At 36.2% G+C, this 13,362-nt stretch overlaps 1 protein-coding gene across 7 annotated transcripts in view; it reads right to left on the bottom strand.

Moving 5' to 3' along the window:
* The window catches only part of ANO3 (anoctamin 3), a 474,482-nt gene that overhangs the window by 30,183 nt on the left and 430,937 nt on the right, over positions 1-13,362 (bottom strand). For all 7 annotated transcript variants that reach the window (NM_001313726.2, NM_031418.4, XM_047427399.1 and 4 more), the window contains one exon: positions 8,609-8,645. In NM_001313726.2, coding sequence (NP_001300655.1) covers positions 8,609-8,645 — 37 coding nt within the window. The remainder of the gene's footprint in view (positions 1-8,608; positions 8,646-13,362) is intronic.

Here is a 13,362-nt window from a genome sequence, read left to right as displayed (position 1 = left end):
ACCAACACATGCACTAGCCCAATCACATGGAAGGAGGAAGGCATAGGTCCTGGGGAACTCCAAGTCCAAAGGCGGTAGTTGCCAAAAGTAGGAAGGGTCTGTGGGCCACCCAGAAGGTGACTGGCAAGTGTGCCTCAGTAAGAACAGTCAGTAAGAACTTGTCCCCACGGGTTTTGACATGTCATGCTTTCACTGTTGTTTCTCTCTAGTTTACAAATTTAGTTCATTAACACAAAACTTATTTAGAAAAGAGGATGTAGATTTTTAGGTACTTTTTATTGTGTAGATTAGTTTTGGTTCTTCATTTCTAATTTTATTTCAGCATTGTCCACAAATGTGTCCTGCCTGATTTCTGCTTTGAGGCAAAAAGTTGTGATGTCATTTGTGGCTAAATTGTGTGGATAAGTTTTGTCAATGTATCAAGTGCCTGAAAATAATATTTGTGTTCCTGTTGGGCATATGGTTTGTGTGTGTGTGTGTGTGTTTGTACATATATAGAGACAGACATATATTATATATATATAAAACGTATATTTTTTATATATTTATATATTATATATATTTTATATATATATAAATTTTTTTTTTCTTGAGATGGAGTCTCACTCTGTTGCCCAGGCTGGACTACAATGGCACAATCTCGGCTCACTGCAACCTCTGCCTCCCAGGTTCAAGTGATTCTTCTGCCTCAGCCTCCTGAGTAGCTGGGATTACAGGCAGGTGTCACCACGCCCGGCTAAGTTTTGTATTTTTTGGCAGAGACAGGGTTTCAACATGTTGGCCAGACTGGTCTCGAACTCCTGACTGCTAGGATTACAAGAGTGACTCACCGCATCCAGTCTGGTTTGTACATATTTTTAAAGAAGGATGTCAGATATGACAGTCAAACACTGTGTATCTTTTTTTTTTTTTCTTGAGATGGAGTCTCACTTTGTCGCCCAGGCTGGATTGTAGCATGGCAATCTTGGCTCACTGCAACCTCCACCTCCCGGGTTCGAGAGATTCTTCTGCTTCAGCCTCCCAAGTAGCTGGGATTACAGGCGCCCGACACCATGCTTGGCTAACTTTTTTTGGTGGGGAGGTATTTTTAGTAGAGACGGGGTTTCACCATATTGGCCAGGCTGGTTTTGAACTCCTGACCTCAAGTGATCTGGCTGCCTCGGCCTCCCAAAGTGCTGAGATCACAGGCGTGAACCACCATGCCCGGTCTAAATACTGTATATATTTACTTATGTTTTGGCTATGGATTTTTCAGTTCTTTTCTATCATTTTTTTGCTATCTATACTTTAAAGCTTCTTAAAGATGCATAGAGATCATGATTATTATACTGACATGTTAGTTCATTTACTAGTATGCAGTATTCCTCTTTGCCTCTAGTTTCCCTAATATTAACCTGATGACATTTGATTTTACTGTTACTATTTTCTTGATATATGTGCTTTTACTCCTCAAGTGTCAGTCATTTTTCAGCTTTTTAAATTCAGTTGTGTTTCTTTTCATTATCATCTAGCTGGATTTTATTTTTTGAAGTTTAATCTGTGTTCCAGTTTCCAAATGGCAATTATTCTTACAGATAATTGAAAGATAGATGGATAGATAGGTAGGTCTGGAGATAAATACAAACACACTTTTAAAAATTTGTTTAATGATTTGTTTCATCTTTTCTTCTCTATTTGTTATATTGATCATGATTCTCACTATTTTATTTATTTTTAATGTATAAATATTGCCTTATATAGAAGAAAATATTTTAGTTTTTCCTTCAAAGAAGCTACAAAAACAATAAAATAAACAAAATAAAATGAAAGAACAAAAATAAACAATAAAATGTTTTCAAATCTTCAATAAAATAGAATGATTCTTGAACATGTAATATTGACTAACATTTATGAAGTCTAGTTATGAGAAAAGAGAGAAGACTCCACCACCCCAAATAAAAGATGTACAAACACTGTACTGAAGAGATTAACATTACTAAACATCCTATCAATAATTTTCAGTTGACAAGTTAAAACATTTATATATAATAAACAATTACCTACATAAATAGGACTTTTCAAAAAATGGCTCAAAAATAGGTAGGTACTCTTCAAAAAACTAATTACCAGTGCATTAACTAAAAAAAAAAAGAAAATGTAAATATCTACCTCAGAATGACATAATGCCTGAATAGTCATATGGGTTGATTCTATGAAACTCTTATTAAATAACAAATTTGCCTTTTGTATGTTTCAGAAAATATAAAATAATTAAAGTAATTCAACTTGCTTGGTGAGATTAACGTAATATTGACTTAATACAGCATAGTGTAACAAGGCCAATGCAAGGACACTATAACCCACTTTCATTTATAAATTTACCACAGAATTCCTTACTCAACAATGTAATAAAAGAAAAGAAAACTATATCTCGACTAAGCCTAGTGGCATAAGGCTAAATGCCTTCAAAGTCCAAAAACTTAACAATGAGGGGCAGAGAGTTTTGGTTTAATTACAAGCTAGAGAGTATGTAATTATCTAAATGCCTTATAAACTGTTTTTTATAAAACTGTGTGATAATAAAAGCTACATGTACACAAGAAAAGTGTTTGGATAGTTTGGATATCCTAAAACAGGATTTAGTAATAGACTTCATCCTCCCAAAGTAAGACTTTCTCTGAAAGTTCATGTTTTCCTGATTAATGTCAAGTGACAATAATAAAGGAATCTATGTGGCCAACTAAAGTGACTCTTCTATGCGAAGCCAAACTGAAGATGTAAAGTACTCCAAATTGTCCTGTGAGAAATGCCAGTGAAGACAAATAATACTTTAAAACATTGTCAAGAAAATTAAAGTTTTAAACTCTGGTTTTTACAATTAATTATATAAGGAGAACCACATACCTCTAAATCTTATATTCAACACATTTATTTGTGGGCCATTCTTGATATATTTATTATCATTAATTTTTCATCCACTCTTCTGACAAGTGTTTATTGGGCTGCTATTTCATACTGGAACAGACTTGATACTATCTACACTATGATGATGGGGACTGAACTTATCTTCTTGTTACTTGTGAGATTTGCATAATTTCTGACACTAAAACCCTTCAAGGACAGCGCAAGTAAAAATCTACAAACTATTTTTACTTAAAATCCCATTGGAAATTCCTAAATAAAATATAGCAGATTTAGGCCTGGTGCAGTGGCTCATGCCTGTAGTACTAGCACTTTGAGAGGCCAAGGCGGGCAGATCACCTGAGGTCGGCAGTTCGAGACCAGCCTGACTAACATGGAGAAACCCTGTCTCTACTAAAAATACAAAATTAGCCAGGCGTGGAGGTGCACGCCTGTAATCCCAGCTACTCGGGAGGCTGAGGCAAGAGGACTGCTTGAACCTGAGAGGCGGAGGTTGCGGTGAGTCGAGATTGCACCATTGCCTTCCAGCCTGGGCAACAAGAGCAAAACTCTGTCTCAAAAGAAAAAAAAATAGCAGGTTTAATTCAACAGTTTATTAAAGGAATAATGCATCTTGATAGTCTAATGGTCTGTCTCCCTATCACGTTGTCTAAAATATTAGGTCCTCCATACATATTTCTTTTATGGATGAACGCATGCCAAACTTTGTACCTAAGGATTGAAAGAATCAGAAGTAAGTACATTCAATTCTTGGCCGTAAGAATTTTTTAGTCTTGTAAAGAAAGTAGATAGATAGATAGATAGATAGGAATAATGTAATAGATGCAGTAATGAAAGGAATCACAAACAGCTAAAGGAACATTGTAGAGTGAAGGACTGAGAAGTCAACAAAGGTTTCACAGAGGCGAGCTCTGATATAAGAAAAGATTACTATGATTTTACTGGGAGAAATCATTCTAAATGGTAGTAAGGTTATATACCAAGTTGGAGACATGCTGAGTGCTATTCAGTTGCTTTACCCATTCTGATGAAGATTACAATGTTCCCAGCAGAATGGCATTTTGCTAGAAGTGGAGGATTGTTACATTGGTAGCAGTTAAACTGGTGTCCACAGTGAACTACTCCTCCAAGTATACATACCCTAGTGTAGTTGCCTCCAACCTTGACTCTGACTTGCCTTCACCAAGAGGAGATTGGATATGCAAGTAAAATGCAAGCAGAAGCTGGATAAGCACTTGTGTATAGGGGCTTGTCTTCCTGGAAGCCAGTTGACATGTAAGATGTCCTATCATACTGCTATAAGCAAGCTAGCCAGGTAGAGGCACATAGAGGAGAAGAAGGCTGAAGACACCAGCTATCCCAATAATTCCATATGAGGAAACAGATGTGATTGAAGAGGCCCTCTTACACACCAGCCCCAGCAGATACCATATGGACCAGAAAAATCACATAGCAGGGCCTAATCTAAATTGCAGGATCATTAAAAATAATAAGTTGTTGTCCTGAGCTACTAAGTTTGGAGTAAAAGGCTATGTGGCAACAGACAACTGAAACAATGGAAGTTACTGCAATGATGATAACTTTGAGGTTTAACTTAGGTTCTACGCTGCCAGGAAGAAAACTTTTATTTTTCAACACCGTGCCATTCACAAATATAGCACATTGTGGATCATTTTGAATTGGTTTTTAACTCAGAGGAGGAATCAAATCCTCAACACTAAGGATATAGGTGCTGTTTCTAGGGTAATGTATTTCTGGCCAAAATATCTCTTACTTTTTCCCTAATGAAGCTAATTACGGATGAAAAGTTATTTATGAGATGCAGTCACCCAGTAAGGTAATTAGTCCTTGCTTTTTACTGTTAATTTCTCTGTTTCTTGGAATTAATAGTGTGTATAGTAGGAAGTTACTTTGTGTTACGATTTTAACACTGTAAGGTAGTTTTGACCCCTGTCTGACAAAGTGAAAACTCTTTTCATTAGTTGGCTTAATTTGTTCCTTCTAATCCCAATTTATCTTTAACATAGACAGTTCATTATTAAGAAAAATTAACAGCCATCCTGATCTAATCCTCAAAAACCAGGAAACCAAAGTTCAAAAAATCACTTTGAAGTAAATGCTTTTAATTTTTCCCATGTTAAAAAACAAATGTAATAGAATTTAAGCTTTATCTCTTTTGCTTTGTGGTTTTTGAAAATACTTGGAAAAAAATAAATCAAGAAACAGAAAGTTTAAAAAAATTCTTTAAATAGCATATGACCTCTTCTGAGAAGTAAAACTTAATTTTTCATTTGTATTTTGAAGCACAAATTAGCGCAGCCAAAAATTAAACAGAACATAATGTCAGGCGCACACACACACACACACACACACACACACACACACACACACTAGATTCTATTATTTTAATCAAACTATCAATATTTTTATCCATTTAAACTAATATAGCCATTATTAGTTAAATGATGAATCAACAGACATAAATCATCACTGGATTATAGAGGAAAAAATCAAATATCAAGTGAAAACCTTGACATTTCTTGTTACTTAGCACAAATAACTGTTCTGTTTCCTACTATTAAGTATGATTTTCCCAAGTCATTCTCCTTAGATTTGCTTCAATCCTGGGTATAGGGTACTTCAAAAGCAAATGAATGTAAGGAACAGAGCTAGTGCTTCATTACCCAACTGAAGAAAATGCAGCTCAGAGGGTTTAAAGAACAATGAACTGGACCATTGCTATTTATTGTACACTTGTCATGTGTCAGGCAGCCAATCTACAACAATGGTGAAATAGGAACTATTATTATTGTCATTTTAACAGTGAGGAAATGAAGACCCAAAAGTAAAGAAGAAGGACAAGCAGAGGGAGGAGAATGAGGGGGAAGAGGAGGAGAAGGAGGGGAGAAGAAGAAGAGAGAACAGGGAGAGGAAAAAGCTTAATGATAGTTATACAGTCATGATGCGGCAATCCAAATGTTCATTGCTATATCCAACTCCAAAGCCTGGTGTCTTCCCCTTTCAAAACATTGTTTCTCCAATGTTAGCTCCAGAGCACAGACTCTATCTCCTTGTATATATATATATATAAAAGAATTTAAGAAACCGAGAGAATAAAATAATTATTACTGCACAACTATGATAATGTAGTAAGTTATGGTGCAAAGATTTCAACTCAGGCATTCTCACTCTAGAGCTGATATTCTTAACAATTACATTATATTGCCTACTTAAGACACTGCATCTGTGAAGCTGGAACTGGATGACATAGAAAAAGGACATTCAGAGAACAGGAAATAATTCTAGAAAATGTGAAGCATGAGTCAATATAAAACATTCAGGAGAATACTTGGAAGATAAGGTTGAGGTTCTCTTGAAGAAATCCCAACAAAAATCATAGAAAAGGAAGAAAGAAAAAAAAAACTATTGAATATGATAAGAAACATCCGAATGTAAAGAGTTCCAGAAAGATTTTTTAAAGGAGTAAATTATTGAACAAAGAATATACAAAAATCTCCTGGAAGCGAAGTTTCTGAGTTTTCAGATTATGGCAGCAGTGGAGGTTTGTCACTAGGATTTCCCCTCAGTAAGAACTTGCTGTTCAGCTGCAAGGAGTACAGTCAGCCTCCAGCTGTTTCCAGCCTCATCCTATACCTCAGCTTTCATGCCAAGGTCTTGCTCTTCCCAGGCAACAACCAACCAGTGACTCAGAATGACAGGGGTACTAGGTCTTGGCCAATTATACTCAATTATACCCAATGTTAGAGTCCTCTAAATCTTTACTTGAAATATTTGTTCTAGAGCTCTCCATTGGATTGGTTAAAACCATCAGATCTGCATTGTTGTCTGAGGCTCTCCTTATCCAGTCCTGCTCCTTTCCTCAGGAGTTTTCCTCTAAGAAATCTCTTGCATTACTAACTCCATCTCAGTGTCTGCTTCCCACAGGACACAATGGATATCAATATTGATGGGATGCACTAAGTATCCAGCATAATAAATGATAAAAGGTTTTCACCAAAGTACATCATTGTGAAATCTCAAAATGAGAAAAGATTCAAAATTATTCTAGAGTATAAACAAATAACAAAAATCAAAACAGGTCCTGTGCAAAGGACTGGGAATCAGAATGGTAGCAGAGCTCTCAGTAACAATGCTGGAATCCAGAAGAAAATGAAACTCCTTCAAAATTCAAAGGGGCAGTATTTCTAACATAGGGTTTCATACCTAGGAACATGGATATCAAGTTTGAGGCTAGAATAGAGACATTTTCAGATCTACAAAGTTTTAAGAAACTTACTTACAAGTAGCAAAATAAGGAACTGAGCCAAGAAGGAATAAGACATAGGATTTAGTAAGTAGTATCCAAATTCTAGAAAAATATAAAAGGAATTCCCAGAGTGTTTATGAAAGTAAGTCTAGATGCAGTTGGCTACAGGCCTAGAAAATAACCCATCTAGTTTGGAGGAGACAGCTTGAGAGGGTAACTCTAAGAAGAAAATCAAGTTTGTATAATACTTGATGTGTCTGAATATATTCAGAGAAAATTTAGAGTCTTGGCAAAACCTTTGGGATAAATTAAGAAAAGTATGTAAAAAAATAAGCAAAAAAGTGGCCATTATTAGCTTAAAAAATACAGAAGTGGTATAAAAAGTATACACAATTATAGAATATACCATGCCGTAGGTATGAAAATAGTTATAGAGACATAATGATGTGAAGACTAACGATTAATTTGGCTAAAAATGCTGATATATCCACCTTGGAAGGAGGAGAAATAACTGTGTTTATCAGATAATGAAAGATGGAGTGTCGGGGGACAGGGCACTGCAGGGAACATTAAGAGCTAAGTCTTAATAATTCATACTTGTATAATGGGAAGGCAATAGCTATCAAAAGATAAAATCCAATAATGGCAATAGAACGATATCACGTGGAAACATGGTGGGAAATAACAAAATAAACAGATAAAAATGTTAAAAGTAGCCGGACACAGTGGCTCACGCCTGTAATCCCAGCATTTTGGGAGGCCGAGGCGGGCAGATCACGAGGTCAGGAAATTGAGTCCATCCTGGCTAACACGGTGAAACCCCGTCTCTACTAAAAATACAAAAAATGAGCCGGACGTGGTGGCAGGCGCCTGTAGTCCCCAACTACTCGGGAGGCTGAGGCCGGAGAATGGCGTGAACCTGCGAGGTGCAGCTTGCAGTGAGCCGAGATCGCGTCACCACCGCACTCCACTCTGGGCGACTGAGCAAGGCTCCATCTCAGAAAAAAAAAAAAAAAAGTTAAAAAGTAGTTCCTTTGGTATAGAAAATAGGAATGGGTGATGTGGTAAAGTACTGGTTTTCATTGTAAATCTCTTAATATTGTTTTGGCTTTTAAAAAGTGTACATGTAGTATAACACTTTGATAAAAAATAAATATTGAGGAAAAACCCAAAGAACTGAAAAGTTGGAGAAGCAAGCACTCCTAAGTAGGAAGAACTAGGTGTGCTGATTTCTAGTAAAAATATTTTGTAACTACATGCATTGTCTCTCTATTGTTATTCAATATAGACCAACTTCCTATACTACCCCTCTCCTTTTTAATTGGTAAATACTTAAATAATTGCAGTTATTAAAATGCTACATTATATAAAGTAACTACAGACTGAAATGCCCATATGTTATTTTCTGACTAAGGAGTGAAGTAAGAAAAATGGACTTACCTAAATTGGTGAGGAGGTAAGCAATTTTTTCATAAGCCTGTAATAAAAGAGAATACATAGTGAACATTATTCCTCTCTTTTGGAAAAGGCTGGTATTTACACTATTTGAAGAAACATCTATAATGTATGTTATACAGTGGTTACATTTTACTTTAAATAGAAACATTTATTGAAACTTAGTATGTAAGGCTTTATATATACATACATGAATGAAATTGATATAATATATGTGAATGTAAATGTGTGTACACGTATATGTGTGTGTAGATACACTTGTAATCTGTAATAACGAGTCTTTTCTGGTAGCTATCTTCATTTTCATTTTGTAAATCAAGAAATGAGAAAAAGTCCCTAAAAGTCATTCAGCTAATCAATGGCTGAGCTGAGATTTGAGCTCAAAATTACAGTTTTTTGGCCGGGCGCGGTGGCTCACGCCTGTAATCCCAGCACTTTGGGAGGCCTAGGCGGGCGGATCACGAAGTCAGGAGATCGAGACCATCCTGGCTAACAGGGTGAAACCCCGTCTCTACTAAAAATACAAAAAATTAGCCGGGCACGTTGGCGGGCGCCTGTAGTCCCAGCTACTCGGGAGGCTGAGGCAGGAGAATGACGTGAAACCGGGAGGCAGAACTTCCAGTGAGCAGAGATCGTGCCACTGCACTCCAGCCTGGGCGAGAGTGAGACTCCGTCTCAAAAATAAAAAATAAATAAAAATAAAAATAAATAAAAATTAAAAATTAAAAAAATTGTGTTTTTTTTTACAACACTGGAAGGCAAAGTGAAAGTTTGAATTCTGCCCTACTGATAAAGAAATTTCTAAACTATGATAAAAGACCGTATATATTTGTATTTGTAAAAAACAAAATTGTTTTTGTGGTTATTTAAAACAGATGCATAAGTCAAATCTGTTGAATCTGTAAGTCACAATTGATTTTTCTGATAATACTTTTCCTCTTCTGCCATCTTTTCCCCTCTCCTATATACTCTGACCAATATTTACATAGACTCAAGAAAAGGGCATACATTTCACAATATTCCAAGTAAATATAGTTGGGAAAGTATTCGCTATAGACAGAAGTACTTGTGGGTATATGTATGTGCATATGAATATTACCTCATAACCACATAATTCAATAAAAAATTGTTTAGATTATCATTTCCAATAACCTTCCCTGTTGGCACGAAAAATTAAAAGGTATGCATCTGGACATATTAAAAGTTGTTCCCCTTCTCTGACAGTTCTTTCAGCAAAATGATTGTGATGACTCATCTTAGCTGTGATTCAAATCTGCCCCTTCCTAAGAGTTAAAGTGTTATCTGGAGACAGAAAGATTACACTGAGTACAGTACTCTCATTCTCTTCCTAGTGCAGGTTTTTGGTCTTTGTTTTAGCTATACACAAACTATAATTTTCAAATTTTAGGATAAGATTACTGTGAATTCATGAACACCAGGTGATTCCTACTGTAACAGGTTCTTTTTCATGTCTTATTTATTAAGTGAGATAATCATAGCAGGGTCTCCAAGGAGTACAATAGGATAGATTCAATTGCCCAAAAAATAGTACTTGAGCACCCACTATGCCTCTAGCACTGAGTTGAGTGCCTTTGTGGGGATTGAAAGTTAGTTCTAGTTCAATAATTGCCATTTGGCTTGTGCCAAACAGTGCTTTACGTATATTATTATTCCTTAACAACAATTTTGTTAAGTAGGTATAATGATTCCCATTTTACAGAAGAAGAAACTAAGTTGTGGAATGTCAGGCACCTTAGTAGTGAGACAACACGACTGAGCAAGTAGCAAAGTCAGGATTGACTATCATGGCTGTCTAGCACCACATACATCGTGCCTTGTCACATAAACCATTTCATTTTTAACTATTTATTTATTTTCGAGACAAAGTCTCACTCTAACACCCAGGCTGGAGTGCAATGGCATGATCACAACTCACTGCATCCTAAACTTCCTTGGCTCAGGTAATCCTCCCACCTCAGCTTCCCAAGTAGCTATAACTACAGGTACACACCACTATGATGCCTGGCTCATTTTCTTTTCTTTTTTTTTTTTTCAGAGATGGCTTTTGGGCATGTTGCCCAGTCTGGTCTCCAATTCCTCATCCGCCCCAGCCTCCCAAAGTGCTAGGATTACAGACATGAGCCACCACGCCCAGCCCTATTCAAATTTTTGTCTTAATATCTAGCACATAGAGCCACTCTGCAAACTTAGGATGGCAATATCTGCAACTGATGCATTAGGGGGGTTACAATAACACTGGGAAAAAAGTTATAAATTACAAAAGATGCCATAATGCTGTTGCAAGACTTTCTGGGGTATTTGCAAACCTGCATCATCCAAGGCCCAAATGCTATGGCTGACTGGCAACATCACTGATGAGCTACAAAATCAGTTCAAGCAGAATGAATTGTTAAATCTCAAACTACAGACTACAAAAATAAATAATGATTTAAATATATCCAACTGTATGGTGTCTGGCAGCAATCACTTTGGCAGTACATACAAGCTGTGAGTGTGTACATTTGTGTGTGATTGTGTAAAGTGGAATGAGTACGTGCTTGTTGGGGAAGAGGATAAAGGGCGTCAGGGATAACTATTCCGGGCCCTACCTGATACACACACGTGATAACATGTTGGAGAACCTATACTTTAAAAAATCAGCCACTGATGCATTTAGTAAGCTGAAATTCTCTTATTCATATATATTAATTAATATATTCATTATAAATTTCTAGTGCATCAGTTAGTGTTTTAGAAACCAAACATACCTGAATCAAAAAGACATAATCTCTACTTTCATAGAACTCAAATTTCAGTGGGTAGAGATAAATGGCAAATAAATACATAATTGGTCAGGAGGTGAAAAGTGCTCTGAGGGAAAATAAAGCAGGCAGAGCGGATAGAGAGTTTTGGTAGACACAGAGAGTACTATTTTATAGAGTATTCTGAAAAGCCTCTTAAAAGCCTGAATAAAGTATTCAGAGGGTAGCATCTGAGCAGAGAAGTGCATGCAATGAGGGAGGGAGCCAAGCAGAAATCTCAGCTAAGTACCTTTAAGACACAGAAATGGGAATGCCAATGCTCTGAGTCTGGCACAGACTTGATGTATTTCATGAAGGGCAGGGAAGTTAGAGAGAAAGGAGTGGCAGCAATAAGACAGTGAAGTAGTAAGAGATGAGTCACTGAGATCTCACAGGGAAACACTTTTTCAGTGCACAGTAGGCCATGGTAAGCATTTTGGAATTCATTCTCAGCTAAGACTTCATCATCTTCCCAGTAATGCCTTGTTTGGGGTGTTATGCAAAAACCAGTTAGGGAGAAAAAGAACAGCAAAGGCAGGAAAAGGACATGGTTATTGTGAGGGGGCATATTAGGCAGTTCTACATGGGTTTTAGAACTTTTTATCTTTTAGTCATAGCCCCACAATACAGCCTTCACTGTGAAAATAAACTCCAAGCTTTTGCAGAATTGAAAAGAGCCTTCCCTTTTCCAGTAATCTACTTGTCTGAATTTCTAGAAACTATGGACATAGACATGAACAAACTAAACAAATACATTTATTAAAAAGCCAATCCTCTTATGAGATGAGTCATTTGACATTACCTCTTTTCTTGGTTAAGATGCCTGGTCCAACCCTTTGATCCACCCTATTCCATAATAGCTTATTTGCACTGTAATTGGTAACCAGTGGTAACCAGGTATTAAGGAAAGTTAGGTGTACTTTGAGGCCTTCAGTGATCAGGCCCATGAAAGAAGTATAGGGATGTATGCTCTGGACTCTAGAGATGGGAATGGATCAACAAGGGAGAAAAGTCCAGAACCTACATGGAGTACTTACATTAGCCAAATGTAGATAGGACTTTTTCTTTTTTTGTTAGAGTGCTCCGTGCATGATACATGGATTTTAAAATCAGAGGAGGAAACCCAAAAGGAGTTCATTCTTTAATTTAAAAATTTTTAATTGGAATTAAAGTTTTAATTTTAGTTTAATTTAATTTTAATAAATTTAATTTAATATTTATAAAATTTGATTTTAATAACATTTTAATTTTTGATTAAAATTTCACCATGCTGAAATGATTTAATTAGCCTAATTCCAGGTTTTTCAAACTCTAAGAGTACTTCTGTTCTGATGTTTCTATATATTTCTTAAAAGTTACCCTTTAATCATGAGACCAGGCAGCTGTCATGCTGCTGTAATATGACAAAATTAGTTAAAGTTGGATTGTCAAGCAACAAGAATATACATTTTTGGAATAATTTTGCATATTTAATTTTCATTAAAATATTTTTAGGAACATTTCCTGATACAATAGTACCATGCCACTTTTGGCACCTTCGAGCAGCATATCCTTTTCTGAGGGTAGCAAAATAAAGAAGAAAAATGGTAGGCCTAGGAAAGAGCAATTCTCGGTTTCAAATTCTGTCTTTGTAGTTGTTTAGCTATATGCCTGATAAAGGGATGTTAAAAATAATACATTGATGTTTTAATTATTGTCAAATAAAATTATTTGTAATTTAATTTTGGAAGATGTGATTTCTGATCCTGACTGTGCATCAAAATTACCTTAGCTCTCTTAATGATTTTCTAATGCTATTTGAGGGGCTGGCTGGATAAGAATTACTAGAGAGTATTTTTGAATGATTTGTTTTAAATATAGATTTCTTAGCCCAACAAAGGAGATTCTGAACAGGACTCAAGAATCTGTAGTTTTTTGGCCGGGCGCAGTGGCTCACGC

Source organism: Homo sapiens, chromosome 11 (assembly GCF_000001405.40).
Source record: "Homo sapiens chromosome 11, GRCh38.p14 Primary Assembly".
In the NCBI taxonomy this organism is placed as follows: Eukaryota; Metazoa; Chordata; class Mammalia; order Primates; family Hominidae; genus Homo; species Homo sapiens.
Note: the sequence above shows the minus strand (reverse complement) of the source record. Positions and strands in the feature narration are given on the sequence as shown.